This window comes from Homo sapiens, chromosome 1, assembly GCF_000001405.40.
Source record: "Homo sapiens chromosome 1, GRCh38.p14 Primary Assembly".
Taxonomy (NCBI): domain Eukaryota; kingdom Metazoa; phylum Chordata; class Mammalia; order Primates; family Hominidae; genus Homo; species Homo sapiens.
In genome coordinates this window covers 24,144,090-24,167,503 of record NC_000001.11, presented here as the reverse complement: position 1 = coordinate 24,167,503, position 23,414 = coordinate 24,144,090, and the positions used below count along the sequence as shown (strand labels likewise).

At 49.3% G+C, this 23,414-nt stretch overlaps 1 protein-coding gene and 1 long non-coding RNA gene across 6 annotated transcripts in view, besides 3 other annotated features; one reads left to right on the top strand and one right to left on the bottom strand.

The window, feature by feature from the left end:
• Nucleotides 1-13,336, top strand: part of IFNLR1 (interferon lambda receptor 1) — a 33,122-nt gene extending 19,786 nt beyond the window's left edge. For 3 of the 5 annotated variants that reach the window (NM_170743.4, XM_017000479.2, XM_006710394.5), the window contains 4 exons: nucleotides 5,820-5,962; nucleotides 7,871-8,030; nucleotides 8,322-8,452; nucleotides 9,613-13,336. In NM_170743.4, the coding sequence (NP_734464.1) occupies nucleotides 5,820-5,962; nucleotides 7,871-8,030; nucleotides 8,322-8,452; nucleotides 9,613-10,374 (1,196 nt within the window). In that variant the 3' untranslated portion in view covers nucleotides 10,375-13,336. The remainder of the gene's footprint in view (nucleotides 1-5,819; nucleotides 5,963-7,870; nucleotides 8,031-8,321; nucleotides 8,453-9,612) is intronic. The other 2 variants (NM_173064.3, NM_173065.3) reach the window with 2 other exon arrangements.
• On the bottom strand, nucleotides 7,046-16,070 carry LOC124903879 (uncharacterized). Its single transcript, XR_007065544.1, has 3 exons — nucleotides 15,765-16,070; nucleotides 12,312-12,492; nucleotides 7,046-10,249 (listed from the first exon to the last, which is right to left on the bottom strand). It is a non-coding gene; the product is annotated as an uncharacterized LOC124903879 (long non-coding RNA).
• Nucleotides 12,814-13,411: an enhancer, noted in NCBI's record as "NANOG-H3K27ac hESC enhancer chr1:24480583-24481180 (GRCh37/hg19 assembly coordinates)". NCBI's record gives its function as "activates a minimal SCP1, AML or CMV promoter by ChIP-STARR-seq in naive H9 embryonic stem cells {active_cell/tissue: H9 hESC(naive)}" and the evidence as "EXISTENCE:reporter gene assay evidence [ECO:0000049][PMID:30033119]".
• Nucleotides 13,412-14,009: an enhancer, noted in NCBI's record as "H3K27ac-H3K4me1 hESC enhancer chr1:24479985-24480582 (GRCh37/hg19 assembly coordinates)". NCBI's record gives its function as "activates a minimal SCP1, AML or CMV promoter by ChIP-STARR-seq in naive and primed H9 embryonic stem cells {active_cell/tissue: H9 hESC(naive and primed)}" and the evidence as "EXISTENCE:reporter gene assay evidence [ECO:0000049][PMID:30033119]".
• Nucleotides 14,010-14,607: an enhancer, noted in NCBI's record as "H3K27ac-H3K4me1 hESC enhancer chr1:24479387-24479984 (GRCh37/hg19 assembly coordinates)". NCBI's record gives its function as "activates a minimal SCP1, AML or CMV promoter by ChIP-STARR-seq in naive H9 embryonic stem cells {active_cell/tissue: H9 hESC(naive)}" and the evidence as "EXISTENCE:reporter gene assay evidence [ECO:0000049][PMID:30033119]".
• Nucleotides 16,071-23,414: the final 7,344 nt, after the last annotated feature.

Below are 23,414 nucleotides of genomic sequence, written 5' to 3'. Positions count from 1 at the left end.
CTGAGGCAGGAGAATTGCTTGAACTTGGGAAGCAGAGGTTGCAGTGAGCTGAGATCACGACACTGCACTCCAGCCTGGGTGACAGAGCAAGACTTTGTCTCAAAAAAAAAAAATTTATAATAAGAGGAGATTTATTATGGGAATTGGCTCATGCAATCACAGACACAAAAATGTCCCCCAGCATGCAGTCATGGGCTGGACAACCAGGAAAGCTTGTGGTGTGATTCTGTCTGAGTCTGAAGGCCCAAGGCCAGGGGAGCAGTGGTGTAACCCCCAGTCGGAGGCCACAGGCCCAACAATCAGAGGGGCCACTGATATAAGTCCCAGAGTCCAAATGCCGGAGAACAGGAAGCTCCAACGTCCAAGGACAGGAGAAGTTGATGTGCCAGCTCAGGAAGAGAGAATGTGAATGTGCCATTCCTCCTCCATTTTTTGTTCTCTTTGGGCCGTCAGTGGATTGGATGATGCCTGCCCACACTGGTGAGGACAGATCATCACCAAATCTGCCGATTAAAATGTTAATCTCTTCTGGAAAAATCCTCACAGATGGGCCCAGAAATAATGTTTTACTGTCTACCTGGGTATCCCTTAGTGCAGCTAAATTGACACATAAACTTAACCATCACAGGCCAGGCACTGTGGCTCACACCTGTAATCCCATCACTTTGGGAGGCCAAGGTGGGAAGATCCTTTGAGGATGAGGTAGGCAGATCACTTGAGCCTAGGAGTTCAAGACCAGCCTAGGCAACATAGGGAGACCTCGTCTCTACAAAAAAAAAAAAAAATTAAATTCGCTGGGTACGGTGGTGGGCACCTGTGGTCCCAGCTATCTGGGAGGCCAAGGTAGGAGGATGACTTGAGCCCAGGAGGTCAAGGCTGCAGTGAGCCATGATTGTTCCATTGAATTCCAGCCTCGGTGACAGAGCAACACCCTGTCTTAAAGAAAGAAAAAATTTAACCATCACAGAAGGCAGAAGAAAAGGCAGATGGGTGGATGAGATGGGTGGGTAGATAGTATAGAAGAAAAGCAGGACATCCAGGCAGGGAAGGAAGGGCTGGAGCGAAGGAGAAGCAAGGAAGGAAGGAAGGAGAGACAAGAAGGAAGGATGTGTAGAAAGGTGAAAGAGAAAAGAAGAATGGATGTATGGGAAGAATGGATGAGTAGGTTAGAAGGCTCACTGGCTAGATAAAAGGTGAGAAGTATAAATGAATAATAAGAAAGGAGGCATAGGAAGAAAAAAATATTGGTTAGAAAGGATGATTGAGAAGAAAGGGTGGTTGGGAAGGAAGGAAGGAAGGATGGATGGATGGATGGATGGATGGATGGGAAGGAAAGGAAGGATAAGAAGGCAGACAGGAAGGCTCTCTGGCTAGAAGAATGGCAGACAAACCACAATAATTGCTGAATGGGTAGGAATAAGACATTAGAAGAATAAAGGGAAAGACACAAAGATATTTAAAATGTTTTCATTAATTTTTTGCCTCCTCCCTGAATTTCTCCTGATTCTTCAGCCCCACATCCCAAGCCAGGGTGATCCTTCCTGCCTTTACACTCCCTCCACACTTTTTCTGCTCTCATATGTGGCCGTGGTCACTTTCTTTTGGTAGTTTGCATATTTCATTTACCCCAAACTTTCAGCTCCTGAAGGTCAGGATACAAGGAGGCCTCATCTCCGCATTCCCCTCAGCTCCCTTCCTGAAGCTTGATACCTAGTCAGTACCCAGTGGATGTTTCCTAAACATGTAAGTAATGACATCATGAAGAAGCCACATGTTTACCTTGACCACAAACACAGGGCAAAGGTGACTAGTGTGGTCAGAGATCCCTGCTGGCTGGGAATCAGGGAAGGCTGCATGGAAGAAGTGGCATTTTAGTTAGAACTTGAAAGGTGGTGTATTTAGTTTTCTCTGGCTGCCATATTCCTTGTCACATTGCCCTCTCCATCTTCAAGCCACTGGGCAAGGCTAGAAGGCCCTCAACAGACTATCGGTAGGAATGTGGAAGTTGAAGACTCAGAGTGCAGAAAGAAACAAGTAGCATTTTAGAGAAAAGCTAAATCCCCTCCAAGAATACCTCAATCATCGTGAAAAGCCTGTTAGTAGACGCACTAACACTCAAGGCACTGCTTCACAAGGTAAGGAACGTGTAATTGAAAACTTGAGAAAGGAAGAAACTTGTTCTGTACTGGCAGAAAGCTTAGCAGAATTGTGTCCTGCAGTCATATGGGACACAGAGCTTGTAAATGATGAATTTGAATGCTTATCCGAGAAGGTTTCCAAATAAAATGTGGAAGGCACGGCCTGGTTTCTTCCTGCCTCTTATAGTAAAATGCAAGAGGAGAGAGAGAAAATGAGGGAAGAACTTAAACAGAAAGGAACCAGGACTTGATGATTTGGGAGGTTCTCAACCTATGCAAAAAACAATAAAATTAAGAGATTGTAGCTGGGCACAGTGGCTCATGCCTGTAATCCCAGCACTTTGAGAGTCCGAGGCGAGCAGATCACCTGAGGTCAGGAGTTTGAGACCAGCCTGGCCAATGTGGGGAAACTCCGTCTCTACTAAAAATACAAAAATTAGCTGGGTGTGGTGGCGGGCACCTGTAATCCCAGCTACTCAGGAGGCTGAGGTGGGAGGATCACTTGAACCCAAGAGGCGGAGGTTGCAGTGAGCCAAGATCATGCCACTGCACTCCAGCCTGGGTGGGTGACAGAGCAAGACTCCATCTCAAAAAAAAAAAAAAAAAGAGATTGCTCCCAAAAGTGTGACATAGAGAAACAGCCAAGTATGTGATTATACCAAACTTCAGGAAGATAAAAGATCAAAGTACTCAGTCGCTCAAAAGGCTCTTTGAAGAGATTAAGATTATAACTCACAGTCCCCTTCAATCAAACCAGGGGACTTCTAGGAAGCTGAACAGCATTGTCCCTCAGCCATCTCAGCTGGAGCCAAAAGTAGAGAAGGGCTTATCTGAAAAAAGGATCTGTGGACCTGGCTTTTATCTAATAATGCAGTGGATTCCCCCATGACATCCATAGGAGACCCGTAAAGTTCCTGAGACGTTTACATCCACAGAAACACTGTTAGCTTGGATTAAATGGAACACAGAGAGTATGAAATCAAAGAAGGCTGTTGGACTCTCCAGTTTCTACTGTTGAGATGCAGACTGGTAAAACTACTTAGCTGCAAACACCTGCTACCTTTAGTGAAAAGGAAGGATATCTCAGACGGTGAAACCAGAAGCTCAAAGGGCAGTGCTAAGAGCGAAAGAGAATTCTTCCCAGGCCTTGAAACCTAATGGAGTTTTCTTGGCTGGATTTTCAAACTGCATTGGACCATGACCTGATTGTCCCTTTCATGTCCCCATGCTTGAGCCAGATTGTCTGCAACTGTTATCCTGTGCCTGTCCCACATTTTATGTTGGGAGCAGAAAACTTTAGTTTTGCTGGCCCACAGATAGAGAGAAACTGTACCCCGAGAGTTGTACTGACTGGACTATGCCCAGAGTCTATTTGACTCTGACTTAGATACTGTTGATTTGGGAATTTGAGTTGATGCTGTAATGAGATGAGACTTTGGGGGACATTGGGATGGAGTGAATGGATTTTGCATTTGAAAGAGATGTGGGTTGGGTAATCCCAGCCCACACCTGTAATCCCAGCACTTTGGGAGGCCGAGGCAGGCAGATCACCTGAGGTCGGCAGTTCGAGACCAGCCTGACCACCATGGAGAAACCCCATCTCTACTAAAAATACAAAATTAGCCAAGCATGGTAGCACATGCCTATAATCCCAGCTACTCGGGAGGCTGAGGCAGTAGAATCGCTTGAACCCGGGAGGCAGAGGTTGCGGTGAGCCGAGATCACGCCATTGCACTCCAGCCTGGGCAACAAGAGTGAAACTCCATCTAAAAAAAAAAAGAAAAAAGAAAGAGATGTGGATTTTGGGTGGGGGACAGAGGGAAGACCATGGTAGGCAGAATGATCCTCTAAAGGTGCTCTGCCCTAATCCCCAGAAGCTAAGAATATGTTAGATGTCAGTATTGCGTGGCAGTAGGAATCTTAATTAACGTTATAGACTGTTATGGTTTGAATGTCCCCTCTAAAACTCCTGTTGACATTTAATCATCATTGTGATTGCATTAAGAAGTGGCCCTGTTAAAAGGTGATTTAGTCCTTAAGAACGCTGCCCCCATGAATAGATTAAGGTCAGTCTTGCGGGAGTGTGTTTATCAAGAATGGATTGTTAAAAAGTGAGTTCTGGCCAGGGGCAGTGGCTTATGCCACTCAGCACTTTGCGGGGCCAAGACTTGAAGTCAGTTGTTTGAGACCAGCCTGGCCAACATGGTGAAAGTCTGTCTCTACTAAAAAATACAAAAAGTGTCCGGGAGTGGTGGCGGGCGCCTGTAATCCCAGCTGCTCAGGAGGCCGAAGCAGGAGGATCGCATGAATCCGGGAGGCAGAGGTTGCAGTGAGCTGAGATCGCCCCGTTGCACTCCAGCCTGGGTGATAGAGCAAGACTCTGTCTCAAAAAAAAAAAAAAAAGAGGAAAGAAAGAAGAAAGAAAGAGAAAGAAAGAAAAGAAAGAAAAGGAAGGAAGGAAGGAAGGAAGGAAGGAAGGAAGGAAGGAAAGAAAGAAAGAAAGAAAGAAAGAAAGAAAGAAAGAAAGAAAGAAAAGAAAGAAAGAAGAAAAAAAGAAAGAAAAAAGAAAGAAAGAAAAAGAAAGAAAAAGAAAGAAAGAAAGAAAGAAAGAAAGAAAGAAAGAAAGAAAGAAAGAAAGAAAAGAAAGAAAGAAAGAAAAGAAAAGAAAAGTGAGTTCTGCCCTCTCTTGCTGGCTTACTCTCACCCTCTCTTGCCCTTCCACCTGCCACCATGGGATGACACAGCACAAAGGCCCTCACCAGATGCCAGTGCCATGCTCTTGGACTTCCAAGTCTCCAGAAACATGAGCCAAATACACTTCTGTTCATTATAAATTACCCAGCCTGTGATATTCTGTAATAACAACACAAAATAGACTGAGACATAGATCTTCAAATAGTGAGGTTATCCTGGATAATCCAGATGGGCCCAATCTAATCCCATGAGCCTTTAAAACTTTCTCCAGATGGAGGCAGAAGAGAAGTGGCAGAAGGGGAAGTCAGAGAGATTTGAAGCATAAACAGGACTCCATGGTGCCGTTTCTGGTTTGACGATGGAGTGGTAACGTGATGAAAAATGTGGGTGCCTTCCGGAGCTGAGAGGCTCCCACTAACAATCGGCCAGGAAACAGGGACCACAGCCCTACAGCCACAAAGAACTAAGTTTTGCTGACAACCCAAGGGGGCTTGGAAGTGTCTTCTCCCCCATCGGTTCCAGATGTGAGACCCAGAGCGGAGGAACCAGCTGAGCCCACCTGGACTTCTGACCTAGAGAACTGTGAGATAATAAGTTTGTATCATTTTTAAGGCACTGTGTGTGTGGTAATTTGTTATGACAGCAATAGAAAATGAATCCAGATGGGCAGGATCTGCCAGGCCAGTGACATGTGGAGGGCACCCAGGCGGATGGGATGGCATGAGAGAAGGCAGGTCAGCAATGAGCTTGCCCAGGTCACCTCTCCTCTCTAAGCCTCAGTTTTCCTCTCTATGAAATGAGAGTAGTGATATCTCCCTCCCAGGGTCAGTGCAAGGCTGAAATAACAGATTATAAGGTGCTAGGTGCACAAGAAGTGTTTGAAACATGCTAGTTGCTTTTCCATTTCCAAGAGAGCTCTCTGGTCTTGGGGGATGGAGGCAGTGCGGCCCCTCGGGATTACTGACAGGTCCTGCTCTGTTTCTGCAGTGGAGCCGGCCCCACCTGTCCTGGTGCTCACCCAGACGGAGGAGATCCTGAGTGCCAATGCCACGTACCAGCTGCCCCCCTGCATGCCCCCACTGGATCTGAAGTATGAGGTGGCATTCTGGAAGGAGGGGGCCGGAAACAAGGTGGGAAGCTCCTTTCCTGCCCCCAGGCTAGGCCCGCTCCTCCACCCCTTCTTACTCAGGTTCTTCTCACCCTCCCAGCCTGCTCCTGCACCCCTCCTCCAGGAAGTCTTCCCTGTACACTCCTGACTTCTGGCAGTCAGCCCTAATAAAATCTGATCAAAGTATGATGACCTACAGGAGGCCTGCTTGCCAAGTCAACAGATTCAGTACAGAAAAACTGAAAAATACAGATAAGCTCTAAGAAGCAGACCAAAAGTACCCAGAGATGACCACACATCACTCTGGTGTATATCCAATTTCAGATTTGTTTTCTGTGTATGCATGTGTGTATAGCTGCATTTATTTATGGCAAGGGCTGGCAGACTTTCCCGAAGAAGGCCAGATAGTCGATATGTTTGGCTTCATGGGCCGTATGTTCGCTCAGGACTACTCAACGCTGCAGTTATAGCACAAAAGGAGCCGTAGCCTATACGTAAATGAATGGGCATCGCTGGGTTCCAGTAAAACTGTTTACAGGCCAGGTGCGGTGGCTCATGCCTGTAATCTCAGTACTTTGGGAGGCCGAGGTGGTGGGAGGATTACCTTAGCCCAGGAGTTCAAGACCAGCCTGGGGAACATGGTGAAACATTATCCCTACAAAAAAAAAAAAAGCTGGGTGTGGTGATGCATGCTTGTGGTCCCAGCTGCTTGGGATGCTGAGGCAGGAGGATCGCTCGAGCCCAGGAAGCAAGGCCACAGTGAGCCATGATCGCACCACTGCACTTTAGTCTGGGCAACAGAGTGAGACCTTGTCTCAAAAAAAACAAAAAATAAAACTTTTTACATAAACAAGTGGCCAACCAGACTTGGTCCCTGGGCCTCTGCTCTTGAATGTTCTTGCTTCCACTAAAGTAACATTCACACTCCCGATTTTTGCATACTCTGGGTTCTGGGGAATATAGATCCGAATCCAGCGTGGTTCCTGCCTTCAAGAACCTCACAAATATTCTAGACCAGCACTGCCCAATAGAAAGAAATATAATGCAAGCCACATGTGCAGTTTTAAGTGTTCCATGTTAAATTAAGTAAAAAGAGACAGGTAAATCGAATTTTAATAACAGATTTTACTTCATCCAATTGAATGGTATCATTTCAATGAGCAATTCTGATAGTGATTGAGATCTTTTACATTCTTTTTCACTACGTCTTTAAAATCTGATGTGTGTTTTGTACTTGGAACACTTCTCAGTGTGGACCAGATGCATTTCACATACTCAGTAGTCACGCGTGGCCAGTGCCTTCCATACCACACAGTGCAGCATCTGTAGAGGTTTCCTCCACTGCTGATAGACTAGGAGACCCCAAGATGGAAAGCCTGAAGAATCTGCTCCTCGAAGTAGGGACCTTAATGGGGTGCACGCCAGGGCGACCCCAAGTGGTAGGCTGCTTTTGAACCATGGCTATCCCTACCTCTAGACTCAGCTGAAAAGAACTCAGGTAGTCTTGGGAAGTGCTTCCTCAATGCTTAAACTTTAATGCAGGAAAAGAATAGAAAGTTCAGGCAAGGAGGGAGGATCACTTGAGGCTGGGAGTTCGAGACCAGCCTGGGCAACAGCAAGACCTTGCCTATACAAAAAATAATTTTAAAAAATTACCCAGGTATGGTGGTGTGGATCTGTAGTCCCTAGTTACTTGGAGAGCTGAGGTAGGAGGATCGCTTGAGCCCAGGAGTTTGAGGCTGCAGTGAGCTGTGATCACACCACTGCACTTTGGCCTGGGTGACAGAACCAAACCCTATCCCCTACAAAAAAACAAAAAAAAAAAACAAAAAAAAAACACCCTACCATGTCTGCCAACCCCACTCTGTCCTGGCTGTGTGAAACCAGTCCCCACAGCAGCTCTGCCACTCTCTGCTTCTTTTCCAAACAGACCCTATTTCCAGTCACTCCCCATGGCCAGCCAGTCCAGATCACTCTCCAGCCAGCTGCCAGCGAACACCACTGCCTCAGTGCCAGAACCATCTACACGTTCAGTGTCCCGAAATACAGCAAGTTCTCTAAGCCCACCTGCTTCTTGCTGGAGGTCCCAGGTGGGTATCAAGTGGTGCAGAAAGAGAAACTTTCCCTCTGGGCCTTGGGAGCTTCGTGACACAGTGGTTAAGAACATGAGCCTAGAGATAGACTCGCCTGGATTAAAACCACACTCATTGTGTGTCTTTGGGCAGCTTACATAATGCCCCAAACCTTGGTTTGCACAGTCTGCAGGATGGGTTTATTCTTGTGAGGATTAAATAGGGTCATGTATGTGAAGCACTCGGCACAGGTGCAGTTGTAGACAAGAGCCATTGTTGTTTCTCTCATTGTTATTTTTCCTTCCTTAGAAGCCAACTGGGCTTTCCTGGTGCTGCCATCGCTTCTGATACTGCTGTTAGTAATTGCCGCAGGGGGTGTGATCTGGAAGACCCTCATGGGGAACCCCTGGTTTCAGCGGGCAAAGATGCCACGGGCCCTGGTATAGCAAATCTGGGGGTGTGCAGCAGGTGGGGAGGGGTTGAGAGTAAGGGAGTGGGGCTGGAGCTATGAGTTGTTCAGATAGAATATCAAGATGGTCCAGACTCTTGGACCAAAACATCTATCTTTGTGTCTGAATTTCCACCATTAGTAATGCATTCATTTAGTCCTGAATAAAATGGCAAACAGGCCCTGGAGGGAGCAGTGCCTTAAGTTCCTTTGAGATAAATAACTTCACCTCTGCTAAGGATGTGTCAGCTGCTGAGAGCAGAGCCCCTGGCCTTGGACCTCAGGAGAGACACTCAAAAGGGGAGGAGAGGAGGCACCAAAGGGGACATCTTAAAAGAGTTCCAATTTTTAGTTCACACTTTAACCCAGGATAAGCTGTGTCCTGGCTGACCTTGGAGTTTCTTCCCTGGTCTGCTGGGTCTCTCCCTTAGAACCTAGGGGCGAGCTGGGGCAGGGGAAGCCCAGGAGGTGATATAGGTCGGCCCTGTTCAGATGAGGGCTGGCAGGGGCAGCTTGGGCATATGCGAGGCTCCGATGGGCATGGGGGCTTTGAGGATGGATTCTGAGTGTCCCTGCATCGTGGCAGGGTGGCAAAGGGAGCATTTCCAAATTTCCTGGCTCCAGGATCTGTGGGAGAATCCCACTAACTGTCAGGGTGACAACCTCGGGTAGACATGTCTGTGCCCTGCCCCGTGCCCTCAGCCTTCCTGTTAAGAGCACACCAGCTGGATTTGCAACTCCCAGCGCCTGCACCCAATGGGCTTTCTCTGGCCTCTGGAGCCCACATTGCCCCTGCATGTGGCAGGCTGCAAGTGTCACAGCCACCAGCTCTTCCATTCCTCAACAATGACTGTGGGTAAATAGCCCAGGAGCGTCCCCCTCCTGGGATGGTTCTGAGGTGCGTGTGCCCAGTGGCTCCCTGAGTTGCCAGCAGGATTAAGTGCCAGTAGCCCTAGTGGTCAGCTGCTTGATAACACCCTGCTTCCTGGCTGCTCCCCCAGTCCCATCTGGTGTGTTCTGGGATCATCTCCCAAAGAAACTGCTTACACTTGAAGCCTTGTCTGAGGTCTGTTTCTAGGGGAATTCAGATGATGATAATTATGCTTCAGGAAAGCCTAAATTTTCTGCTTTTCTCTCCCCTACCCAAATCAGGACTTTTCTGGACACACACACCCTGTGGCAACCTTTCAGCCCAGCAGACCAGAGTCCGTGAATGACTTGTTCCTCTGTCCCCAAAAGGAACTGACCAGAGGGGTCAGGCCGACGCCTCGAGTCAGGGCCCCAGCCACCCAACAGACAAGATGGAAGAAGGACCTTGCAGAGGACGAAGAGGAGGAGGATGAGGAGGACACAGAAGATGGCGTCAGCTTCCAGCCCTACATTGAACCACCTTCTTTCCTGGGGCAAGAGCACCAGGCTCCAGGGCACTCGGAGGCTGGTGGGGTGGACTCAGGGAGGCCCAGGGCTCCTCTGGTCCCAAGCGAAGGCTCCTCTGCTTGGGATTCTTCAGACAGAAGCTGGGCCAGCACTGTGGACTCCTCCTGGGACAGGGCTGGGTCCTCTGGCTATTTGGCTGAGAAGGGGCCAGGCCAAGGGCCGGGTGGGGATGGGCACCAAGAATCTCTCCCACCACCTGAATTCTCCAAGGACTCGGGTTTCCTGGAAGAGCTCCCAGAAGATAACCTCTCCTCCTGGGCCACCTGGGGCACCTTACCACCGGAGCCGAATCTGGTCCCTGGGGGACCCCCAGTTTCTCTTCAGACACTGACCTTCTGCTGGGAAAGCAGCCCTGAGGAGGAAGAGGAGGCGAGGGAATCAGAAATTGAGGACAGCGATGCGGGCAGCTGGGGGGCTGAGAGCACCCAGAGGACCGAGGACAGGGGCCGGACATTGGGGCATTACATGGCCAGGTGAGCTGTCCCCCGACATCCCACCGAATCTGATGCTGCTGCTGCCTTTGCAAGGACTACTGGGCTTCCCAAGAAACTCAAGAGCCTCCGTACCTCCCCTGGGCGGCGGAGGGGCATTGCACTTCCGGGAAGTCCACCTAGCGGCTGTTTGCCTGTCGGGCTGAGCAACAAGATGCCCCTCCCTCCTGTGACCCGCCCTCTTTAGGCTGAGCTATAAGAGGGGTGGACACAGGGTGGGCTGAGGTCAGAGGTTGGTGGGGTGTCATCACCCCCATTGTCCCTAGGGTGACAGGCCAGGGGGAAAAATTATCCCCGGACAACATGAAACAGGTGAGGTCAGGTCACTGCGGACATCAAGGGCGGACACCACCAAGGGGCCCTCTGGAACTTGAGACCACTGGAGGCACACCTGCTATACCTCATGCCTTTCCCAGCAGCCACTGAACTCCCCCATCCCAGGGCTCAGCCTCCTGATTCATGGGTCCCCTAGTTAGGCCCAGATAAAAATCCAGTTGGCTGAGGGTTTTGGATGGGAAGGGAAGGGTGGCTGTCCTCAAATCCTGGTCTTTGGAGTCATGGCACTGTACGGTTTTAGTGTCAGACAGACCGGGGTTCAAATCCCAGCTCTGCTGTTCACTGGTTGTATGATCTTGGGGAAGACATCTTCCTTCTCTGCCTCGGCTTCCTCATCTGCAGCTACGCCTGGGTGTGGTGAGGGTTCTAGGGGATCTCAGATGTGTGTAGCACGGAGCCTGCTGTGTCCTGGGTGCTCTCTACGTGGTGGCCGGTAGAATTCTCCATCTATCCAGGCTCCAGGAGACCCCTGGGCATCTCCCACCTGTGGCCCCTAAACCCAGAGTGACTGAGAGCACTTAACATTCAGCTTGTCTCATCCCCAGTCTACCTCCTTCCTTCTACCCTCACTGCCTCCCAGTCAGGAGAGTGAGCTCTCAGAAGCCAGAGCCCCACCCAAGGGGACCCTGGTCTCTCCGCCTTCACCTAGCAATGGGAACCCTGCTTCCCAGGGGAGGAACCAACTGCTCCACCTTCTAGGGACCCAGTTTGTTGGAGTAGGACAGTAACATGGCAGGAATCGGACTTCTGGGCCTGTAATCCCAGTTTGGATGGCACGTTAGACTCTTGGTTGACCGTTGTGGTCCTTAGAAGTCCCATTCTCCCTTCCAGTTATGAGAAACCAATGCCTTCTAGATTCAGGTGACTATCCTTACCTGGGGGTGCTGATGCATCCTCAGTTAACCTACACCCACCTGAATATAGATGAGCGTAGCTGAGTTTTCACCCGTAGGACCGAAGTGTTTTGTGGTGGAGTATCTGAACAACCTTGGCTCTGTGGCCATTCAACCTGCCAGGACTAACATTTCTGGATTTGTGAAGAAGGGATCTTCAAAGCCATTGAACCCACAGAGCTGTGTTGCTTTAAAGCCACCACAAGGGTACAGCATTAAATGGCAGAACTGGAAAAGCTTCTTAGGGCATCTCATCCAGGGATTCTCAAACCATGTCCCCCAGAGGCCTTGGGCTGCAGTTGCAGGGGGCGCCATGGGGCTATAGGAGCCTCCCACTTTCACCAGAGCAGCCTCACTGTGCCCTGATTCACACACTGTGGCTTTCCACGTGAGGTTTTGTTTAGAGGGATCCACTACTCAAGAAAAAGTTAGCAAACCACTCCTTTTGTTGCAAAGGAGCTGAGGTCAAGGGTGGCAAAGGCACTTGTCCAAGGTCGCCCAGCAGTGCTGCTCTGATGACTTGTGCACATCCCCAAGGGTAAGAGCTTCGATCTCTGCACAGCCGGGCCAACCTCTGACCCCTTGTCCATGTCAGTAAAATATGAAGGTCACAGCCAGGATTTCTAAGGGTCAGGAGGCCTTCACCGCTGCTGGGGCACACACACACACATGCATACACACATACGACACACACCTGTGTCTCCCCAGGGGTTTTCCCTGCAGTGAGGCTTGTCCAGATGATTGAGCCCAGGAGAGGAAGAACAAACAAACTACGGAGCTGGGGAGGGCTGTGGCTTGGGGCCAGCTCCCAGGGAAATTCCCAGACCTGTACCGATGTTCTCTCTGGCACCAGCCGAGCTGCTTCGTGGAGGTAACTTCAAAAAAGTAAAAGCTATCATCAGCATCATCTTAGACTTGTATGAAATAACCACTCCGTTTCTATTCTTAAACCTTACCATTTTTGTTTTGTTTTGTTTTTTTGAGTCGGAGTTTTGTTCTTTTTGCCTAGGCTGGAGTGCAGTGGTACAATCTCGGCTCACTGCAACCTCCACCTCCCGGGTTCAAGTGATTCTCCTGCCTCAGCCTCCCAAGTAGCTGGGATTACAGGCACCCGCCACCACACCTGGCTAATTTTTTTGTATTTTTAGTAGAGACGGGGTTTCACCATGTTGGCCAGGCTGGTCTCGAACTCCTGACCTCAGGTGATCCGCCCGCCTCGGCCTCCCAAAGTGCTGGGATTACAGGCGTGAGCCACCGCGCCCAGCCAAACCTTACTATTTTTTTAAAGAATTTTTTCCAGAGTTTAATTTCTGACATAGCTTAAGTTTTCCAGTAACTCTAAACTCCATCTCCTTTATCGTCATTAAGTCATTCACAAAAAGCCAGGAGAAGCATTTGGAAAGGGCATGATAATCAGTATAATAATTTGCCTTGTGTGGTCAGCACTTAACTGTTTACAAAGCCCTTTCACGTGCACAGCAGGTGGGAACTGCGCGGTGTGGGCTGGGCCTGCGCTGGAAGCATATCCCGTGAAAAGTGTTAGTGCCTTAGGTGAAAGCAACATGTATCCCTTTAGACTACTAACGGTATATGTTGTTCTTATGTATTTGTATTTATTTCTATTTTTTCTATGTTTATGTCATATTTAAACGATATCCTACTGCTTGTTGGTATTACCCTAAACTGTTTAAATAAAGAGCTCTATTTTTAAAGAAAAAAGGTACAATTGAATGGAAAAGCGTATGCTCTTATCTTTTTTTTTTTGAGACAGGATCTCACTCTGTCATGCACGCATGCCCCACCAGGCCTGGTTAATTTTTTTGTTTTTGTAGAGATGGAATCTCCTATGTTGCCCAGGCTGGTCTCAAACTCCTGGGCTCAAGCAATCCTTCCCGCCTCGGCCTCCCAAAGTGTTGGTTGGGATTATAGGTGTGAGTGACCGTTTCTGGCCTATGCTCTTATTTTTCAAAGGCTCCTCACCTCTCCTCTGGGAAACCTAGCTGTTAAGGCTACAAGGGTCAGCCAGGCAGGGTGGCTGATACCTGTAATCCCAGCACTTTGGGAGGCCGAGGCGGGCAGATCACGAGGTCAGGAGATCGAGACCGTCCTGGCTAACATGGTGAAACCCTGTCTCTACTAAAAATACAAAAAATTAGCCGAGGGTGGTGGCGGGCGACTGTAGTCCCAGCTACTTGGGAGGCTGAAGCAGGAGAATGGCATGAACCCGGGAGGTGGAGCTTGCAGTGAGCCAAGATCACACCACTGCACTCCACCCTGGGCAACAGAGCCAGACTCAGTCTCAGAAAAAAAAAAAAAAAAGACTACAAGGGTCTTGAGTCGGGTCCCCAGAAGCAAACCCAGAGAAAAGGTAGAAAGGTAGAAAGCAGTGCAGTGATCCAGGTAACGCCAGGAGGGGAGTGTGGAGGCAAGATGGGGCGGAGGGTAGGGGAGGAGGGGAGTGTGGAGGCAAGATGGGGAGGAGGGTAGGGGAGGAGGGCAGCCAGGCAAAGTGTGTCATCAACAGGTCCCTGCTGTGGGCAGCTGGACCTCAGTGCCCCTGGAGAGCTCTGGAAGTCAATGTAGGATGCAATTCAGATTTGGTCCCACTGCCAGGGGCAGGAGCCAGGGAGTCTAGCTACTCCCTCCCATCAGTCCAGTGTGGAGGCCGTTCCCTGAGGCAGAGTTGCAGGTACTTGCAGTTGGAATCCACCAAGCTGAGTGCACAAGAAAGGGGAGTGCCATGGGGCTGAGGGCAGGGTCCCCAGCCAATATCCCTTGTTGTAGTGAGGCTGGAGCTGACAGCTCACCCAGCTGCAACTATGGTCCATGGAAGGATATGGAACAGCACCTGTGCGCCTAGCTTTGCATTGCCAAACTCATTCCAGCAGCTCTCCATTAGCAAGGGTCTCCCAGTTTCCAACAACTCTCTCAAGGCCACCTGGTGACTGTCTTAGCACTGTGCCCGCAGTTGTCACCTCTTATTGGTGCCAGGGCAGGCGCTAGACCCAAGCCTAGCTGATCTGACAAGTCCCTCTCCCTGGAATTCAGTAGTCTCCCTGGCTGGCTGGGCCTGGAGCAGGTACCTTCCAATCTGCCATGGCCACATTTCCCAGTCTGAGGAACAGTCTGCAGACAAGACAAGAAAGCAGCCACTGCCACGTGGGCTGCCGAGACAAGAAACGGCAACCCCTGCTTCTGGTCCCTTCCCCCAGGTGCAGCTGCACCCCAGCCTCGACTTCATCCCACTTTTAAAAATATTTTTTTCTAGATAGACAGAGTCTCTCTCTGTCACCCAGGCTAGAGTGCAGTGGCGTGATCTCAGCATCTCAGCTCACTGCAACCTCCACCCCCCAGGTTCAAGTGATTCTTGTGCCTCAGCCACCCAAGAAGCTGGGATTACAGCTGTGCACCATCACATTCTGCTAATTTTGGTTTGGTTTTTTGTTTTGTTTTGTTTGTTTTTTGTTGTTGTTTTGTTTTGTTTTGTTTTTTTTGAGATGGAGTCTCGCTGTGTCTCCAGGCTGTAGTGCAATGGCGTGATCTTTGCTCACTGCAACCTCCTCCTCCCGGGTTCAAGCAATTCTCCTGCCGCAGCCTCCTGAGTAGCTGGAATTACAGATGCTCGCCACCATGCCCAGCTAATTTTTGTATTTTTAGTAGAGACGGAGTTTTGCCATGTTGGTTTTTTGTTGTTTTTTTTTTCAGTAGAGACAGGGTTTCGTCATGTTGCCCAGGCTGGTCTCGAACTCCCGGCCTCAAGTGATCCACCTGCCTCGGCCTTTGAAAGTGCTAGGATTACAGGAGTGAGCCACTGTGCCCAGCTAGTTTTTGTATTTTTAGTAGAGACAGGTTTTCGCCATGTTGGCCAACCTGGTCACTCCCCTCCCAAAGTGCTGGGATTACAGACATGAGGCATCATGCCCGGCCCCTTGCAACCTACATACAAGTCCATGAAAGAAACCAGAATGTGTTACCCCCAAATATGCCTCTTTGACACGATAATTTTGAATATTTTTTAGCTAAGGTAGTTAAAAAGCAGCAAACAGAGGAAGAGCTCCCCTCTTTCCGCCGAAAGGCAGGTTATAAATTCTTTACTGGAGACAACTTTTACAAACCTTATGCCATCAGTTTACTCCCATGCACTTACCTTCTCAGAGGTCCCTCCTTTGGGAGCCTAAACCTGCTTTCCTTTGTCTTGCCACTTCTCTAAAATGTATTGTGTGTTTTTTTTTTCCTGTTCCCGTTGTGGGATATGATGAGGTTTCTCTTCAAATAATCTGATCCATCTTTTATTCTTTAATTCATAGTACCCCTTTTTCTCCTTTTTGCCTTTGTTAGATGCCCAGGCACACCACAGTACCAGGGGTTATCAGTACCAGCTCACATTCCTTTCCTTATTTGGAAAGAAGACTAACTTTCTAGCTCATGACAGACACCCCTTCCCCGCCCTCTCCAATTTCTTTTACGTGCCCACCTTATGTAAAAAAATTCAAATGTTTAGCCAACCGGGATTCGTTTAGATTGTACGACCGGACCCCGGCCAATGGGGAAAGAGTACAGGGGCAGGATTTGCGTCAGAATTAAAGGCTCTCTTGCCCTTTGTTCAGGTGTGCTCTCATGGCGACTGGCCAAGGAGGCACCCGTCTGCGCAGAAGTAAAATTACTTTGCTAAGAATCCTTTGTTCGAGTGTTCAATTTCCTTAGGATTTTGAGCGTTATTCCTGACAGCGTTTTGTCAGGATAAAATTTATTGTTCTTTGTTGAAGATGCTCTCTAAGCCAGAGTCATAAGCCACTGCACCATCACCTTTCTTTTGAGGTTTCTCCCTCGTGATGTGTGCTGCACGTATTACAGACTTGCTTGCTTTTCTCTTGGTAATCTGTCTTTTGTTACAGGGCGATCTGTCTCTACTATGAAGGAGTGAGAAATTATGTTTCCTCCCCCACCCCAGCATTTAAGCCAGGGCCTTCTATTACTTGTAACCAAATGTCCTTGCTAATTCACAAAGACAAGGAGACAGTGAATCCACCTCCCGGGTTCAAACGCTTCTCCTGCCTCAGCCTCCCGAGTAGATGGGATTACAGACACCCGCCACCATGCCCGCTTGTGGCCAGCTTCGGGTATCTGGTCCTTTCCAGGAAACAGGGAAGGACGTCCTCTCCAGGTGACCCGCCCGCCCTCCTCCTCCTCCTACTGCTGGGTCGCCGCCCTTGAGCTTCTCCGAACCTGTCTGCTGCCACCTCCTGGACGGTGGTGGTATGTCAGGGCGGCTGGGCGCGGTCTTACCCGAACCGAGCTCAGGGAACCTGGAGAGGGGAGGGCTGGGGTAATGGACGCCCTGAAAACTTCCTTTAGGAAAGGGGTTGCTTTTCCTCTTGGCACCAGCACCTGGCACAGAGTGGAAGCTTGGGATTGAGTAAGTGAATGAAAGAATAAGTGAGTGAATTGGCGTATGAATTGGAGTCAGTAAGTGGACGGCTGTGACTGACTTACATATAAGGTTGCAGGAGCTCTCGCATGCGATGATACCATCCTGATCCCAAATTCCCGTTGCCCGTCGGTGCCCGTCCTCCCTCGCCCAGCATCTGCTCTGAGGGGGCACTGGTGCTGCTCAGCGAGCATAGTGATGTTGGAGGGAGTACGCGGGAGACAGAACAGGACCTTAACACTTGGTCTGGGACTTATTATTCTGTAATTGATTGTTTCCCATGTGATTTAGGTTTTGATCAATGGCTGCCTGCGCATCTTCCCTGAGCTCATTCCTGTGTGCATAAAGTGGGGCTGAAGTAATGAGGGTTGGGGGTGTTTTTTCTAGAAAACAGACTAGAAGTTATATCTAAATGCGTGAGTCAGCTCCATGAGTCAGTTCCTCAAGAGATACTGGTTGACACCAGGACCGGTTCCAGCCCTGGGAGCCCCACCCTTGGCGTGTGACGATACATGACATGGAGGTGTGATGGCTTTATATAAGCTGAGTCTTTTTATTTCCCCCAACTGCTTATTTAAGTGGATGAAGAGGATAAGGTCACGAGGAGTGCCCTGTCCTGGTGGACAAAACCATCAGCATATGGCGAGAGGCCCCTCTCTAGGAGGGCGGTGCCTCCAGGGTGGGACATATCCCACCCCACTCTGAGTCTGTTTCTCCAGGTGCTTAGTGGACCATCTGGGAAGCCAGAGTCCAGTAGGAGCCTGGAGCCCCCACACTCCCATCTCTGAGCTCCAGGCCCTTTCATGAAAGCCCCTGCTTCTAAGTAACTCTAACCCAGCCTGGACGCCTAACCTGCAGGATGCAATGCCGTTACTTTCTCCAGCCCTGGAATCGGGCCTCAGAAATGATGGCCAACTCAAACTTCTTTTTTTTTTCCCGAGACGGAGTATTGCTCTGTCATCCAGGCTGGAGTACAGTGGTACAATCTTGGCTCTCTGCAACCTCCGCCTCCCTGTTCAAATGATTGTCCTGCCTCAGCTGCCCAAGTAGCTGGGATTACAGGTGACTGCCACCACGCCCGGCTAATTTTTGTATTTTTAGTACAGATGAGTTTTTGCCATGTTGGCCAGACTGGTCTTGAACTCCTGACCTCAGGTGATCCGCCCACCTTGGCCTCCCAAAGTGCTGGGATTACAGGCGTGAGCCACCACACCCAGACTCAAACTTCTAAGGGAATGTTATCATTGCCCTCATGCCCACCTCCCTCCATCCCCACACCTGCACACCAGCAGTCTAGGTTTTTTTTTCTTTTTTCTTTTCTTTCTTTCTTTTTTTTTTTTTTTAAGGCACAGTCTCCCTCTGTCCCCAGGCTGAAGTGCAGTGGCATGCAATCTTGGCTCACTGCAACCTCTGTCTCCCGGGTTCAAGCTATCCTCCTGCCTGAGTAGCTGGGACTACAGGTGTGCACCACCACGCCCAGTGTATTTTTAGTAGAGAAGCGGTTTCACCATGTTGGCCAGGATGGTCTTCATCTCTTGACCTCGTGATTCGCCCGCCTCTGCCTCCCAAAGTGCTGGGATTACAGGCGTGAGCCACTGCGCCCGGCCTGCAAAGGTTTTTAAGGGAACTCATTGGTCCTTGGGTTCCTCATTTTGTAACAGAGGATGCTTGCTGCGTGAGACCTCCTTCTCAGAAACGGTCCAGAGACAGCAACCCAGCAACACTGAGGAGTAGAGACTTATTTCCATTTCTAGATGAGGAAGCTGAGGACGAGAGGCTAAGGGACCCTCACACAGCAGGGAAGTGGCAGAGCTAGAATTCAGACCGGGTCTGTCTACTCAAAGCCCATGTTCCATTCACTTCCCTTGGCTCCTGTGGGGGCCTATGAAAGTGCTCCCCCATCCTGGCTGGAAATGCATGATCTTCTTAATGTTTTTATGAAGAAGCATGGCCTTATACATGCCTTATAGGCATGTAATAAGCTTCTGGAACTTCAAACTCCCAAGAGAGAGCTGAAATTATAAGTAGAGTCAGGAAATTCTACAATGACTTTATGTTTGTGTGAATGACATTGGTCATGAAGGGAATTCTGGGATGTCAGGGGAGGTTTCCAACCCCAAAGTGACATGGAAGCAGAGGCCATGCAAGCTGCAGAGGCCCTTAGGAGACTTCTAGACCAAGACTCCTTTACAGACAGAGAAACTGAGACCTCAAGAGGGGACAAGAACTATTCATAGTCACCTGAAGTCAGGTGCAAGGTTGTGACCAGACCCAGACTCCGGACCTGGGCCATGTACTCAATGTCCCTGATTGACACAGCCCAGGCCTTGGAGTCAGATGGGCTCTCAGGCTTCGTTCCTTGCTCCTGCTCTCCAGGAATGAGCAGGAACCCCTCTAGGACCTGCCCCTGCAGAGTCATCAACCACGGAGACAGCACTCCACACTCCCTGAAGACTTCCGGGAAACAGCCCACTGCCTTTTGATGTTGTGCTTCTGTTATTCCTGGGTGTTGAGAGAAGGGACAGGAGCAGATCACATTCCCGAGTAGTTCATTGTAAAATGTGCTTTTTCTATAGCTTGGGGATGTTCCCTACAGTCTTAAAGCCCTGGCCAGCTTTCTCCGGCACACTCATTCATTCAGCAAATCTTACGAAGTACCTGCTCTGTGCCAGCTCCTACTAGACACTGAGATACCCAGGAGAGCGAGCTCCAGGCCTTGTCCCTGTAGTCAGTGCCATGGGGAATGGGAAAGCACCATGCAATGCATACTAGGAGATGGGAACACAGAGCTGGTGTTCCCAACCCAACCAAGGGAGCAGCTCACACAGGGGAAGCTTCCTGGTGGAAGTGAATTTAAGCAGAGGCCTGAAGAATGAATCGGAGTGAGACAGGAAAGTGGAGGTGGAAAGGGATTCTCAGAGGCAAGACAGTGCATGGGTGCACTGGAGAAATTTGTCAGAAAACAAGTGCTTTTCCTGGAGGTCTGAGAATCAGCAAGGCGAAACTGCTGCTCTGAAGGTCAACGCTGTAAGTCGATGTTGGATACCTGCTCTACATTCAGCCATGTGGAGGGTACAGAGGAATACCAGCGGGCTCTTTGCAATCAGAATGCTTGACGAGCACCATCCAACTTTGGAGCCCAGAGAACGAGGTTATCTGGGGAACCTCTGCCACTGAAGGCAGCTTCGTTGTGAACACCTCCAGCAGCCAAGACCTTTCTACCTCTCAAGGCAGCCACACCATCATAGCGAGAGTGATTTCCTTAAATTGAAAAAATGGCCTCTCTAATATGTCTCCCCCTGACCACCCTAGTTTTCCTTTTAGAGGTAGTTATACAAAAAAGGTCTAGAGCCTTCTCCATGCAATAGCCCCTCAAATATTTGAAGACGGTGCTCATGTTTCACCTCCACTCCAACTCGAATCTCTCCTGTTCATTCTTTTGTTTGTTTGTTTGTTTGGAGGCAGAGTCTTGCTCTGTCACCCAGGCCAGAGTGCAGTGGCTCAGTCTCGGCTCACTGCAACCTCCGCCTCCCAGATTCAAGCAATTCTCCTGCCTCAGCCTCCCGAGTAACTGAGATTATAGGCATTCGCCACCATGCCCAGCCTTTTTTGTTTTGTTTTGTTTTTTTGTTTTTTTAGTAGAGACGGGGTTTTGCCATGTGGCCCAGGCTGGTCTCGAACTCCTGACCTCAGGCAATGCGCCCACCTCGGCCTCCCAAAGTTCTAGGATTACAGGCATGAGCCACCGAGCCTGGCCTGTTTGTTTTTGAGATGGAGTCTCACTCATTCTGTCGCCCAGGCTGGAGTGCAGTGGCACGATCTTGGCTCACTGCAACCTCCGCCGGGAGTCTAGGGACCCTAGACTCCCTGCTTCTCCTGCCTCATTCTTCCAGATTCTTCCTCATTCTTCCTGATTCTCCCTCATTCTTCCTGATTCTCCTGCCTCAGCCTCCCGAGAAGATGGGACTACAGGTGTGCATCATCATGCCTGGCTAATTTTTGTATTTTTAGTAGAGACAAGGTTTCACCATGTTGGCCAGGCTGGTCTCGAACTCTTGGCCTCAAGTGATCAGCCCATCTCAGCCTCCCAAAGTACTGGAATTACAGGCATGAGCCATGGCGCCTGGCCTCCTTTCCATTCTTGAACATGTAACACAGCTGAAGTATCATAGTGGACAATGCCAAAATGCAGGCCAGACCACATATTCTGGAAGGACTTTGTTTTTAAGTTCGTTTGTTTTTTGAGACAAGGTGTCACTCTGTTGCCCAGGCTGAGTGCTGTGGTGCAGTCATGGCTCACCGCAGCCTTGATCTCCTGGGCTCAAGCAATTCCCTGCCTCAGGCTCCCAAGTAGCTGGGACTACAGGCATGTGCCACCACACCTGGCTAATTTTTTATTATTTATAGAGACAGTGTCTCACTATGTTGCCCAGGCTGGCTTTAAACTCCTGGACTCAAGCGATACTCCCTCCTTGGCCTTCCAAAATGCCGGGATTACAGGCATGAGCCACGGTGCCTGGCCTCTGGAAGGACTTTCAAAGTGAGATGTTATGGGCTGGAGTTATCAAGAAGGGCCATATCGCAGAAGAAAACTGTCTTGGTGAGATTCGAGGAAAAGGGAATTGGCTAAGGGAGTGGAAATGGCATTCCAGGAGGAGGATAGAGCCCCAACAAAGGCTTGTCTTTAATGCCGATTTGTTATGTTTAGTAACCTTGCTTTCCCTTAATATAAATTAGTGTATTTCCTATATTAACTTTAGGAAATGCAGATAAGCAAAGGGAAGAAAAGAAAAATCACCTACAATTCCACTACCACCCAGAGATAACGCCCCTAGTGTTTTCATCTATATCCATGAAGACACGCAGTTTGCTCTGCGTGTGCAGGTGTGCGTTTTAGCCAGGGTGGTACTGTACATAGGTTATGTTATGCCTCTTTTCACTTGAAAAAATATGATGAGTCTTTACCAGGTCACGAAACATTTTTCTCCAGCATTATTTTGGAAGCTGCATTTGTCTTGCTTTGGGTGGACATACCATTATTCTTTTAACCAAACCTCTATTGTCAGACATGGAGGTTGTTTTCATTTTTTTCTCCTTTTTTTTTTTTTTTTTTTTTTTTTTGAGACGGAGTCTCGCTCTGTCGCCCAGGCAGGAGTGCAATGGTGCGGTCTCGGTTCACTGCAACTTCCACATCCTGGGCTCAAGCAATTCTCCTGCTTCAGCCTCCCGAGCAGCTGGGATTACAGGTGCCCGCCACCATGTCCGGCTAATTTTTGTATTTTTAGTAGAGACAGGGTTTCGCCATGCTGCCCAGGCTGGTCTCGAACTCCTGATCTCAGGTGATCTGCCCACCTTGGCCTCCCAAAGTGCGAGATTACAGGCATGAGCCACCACGCCCCACCTATTTTTTTCTTAAACTGTTAGAAATGAAGTCTGGGTGTTCCCACATTCCTTAGCAATCCAGGTGTCTTCCTTCCCGTTAATTCCTACATAACCACAGGCCCTCGAAACTACAGGATGCCCTTTTCCTCCATCAAGTTCCTTCTTCCAGTGCTTCTGAGAGGCCCCAAGGAACACTTTCGTGTTCCACAGACCTGTTGGGGCTGCGTCTTGTCCTCTCGGCCAGCCACTTGGGACCAAAGCCTGCTCTTCTCCCTAAGCGTCCCTTGTAACCTGTTTTTCTCGCTGTAGCTTCCCCACACTGCCTTGTCATCAAAGTCATCAAAAACCCTCTATCCATCATGGTTCATTCAGTAGCACAGAAACCTCTCCAGTCTTTCAGACCAAGGGACTTTAATGTAAAGGAGCTCGTCACCCAGAGGATGAAGGAGCTGGGACACTAATCAGGACAGACAGTTCAGAGATTTCCCCAAAGCAGGAAGCTGTGCCATCCCACCAACTGAAAGGAAAGATGAGGGGAGAAGGTGTTGCCAGAGCCAGGAGCTGGCCTCCAAACAGGAACAAGAAAGACATAAGGGGTTGCCTGGCTGATGGACTGTCCAGAGGGAGCCAGAACTGCAGAGGGATATGGCCATTGCTGGGGAAGCCACTCAAACAGAAAACGAGGGGAGAAATGCTCTGATCTCTGCCTCCCCAGTCTTCCCCCAGGGGCTAAACCTATCAGAAAGCAGTTGATAAAGGAGTCTAGAAAATGTAGTTTCCTGCAGTTTCAGGAAATGACTGGCATGGGCCCTACCTTAATTCCTCCAAAGCACAGCTTAGATTTGGCTGTTTTGTCAAACAAACTTTAGCAATCAGGGCTGATAACAATTACAATTCAGGAAAGAAAAACTTAAACACCGATCTCAGCATATCACAGCCCATTACACCCAACCCGTTGGCAGGATCCCTGCTAAAATTTCGCTTGCC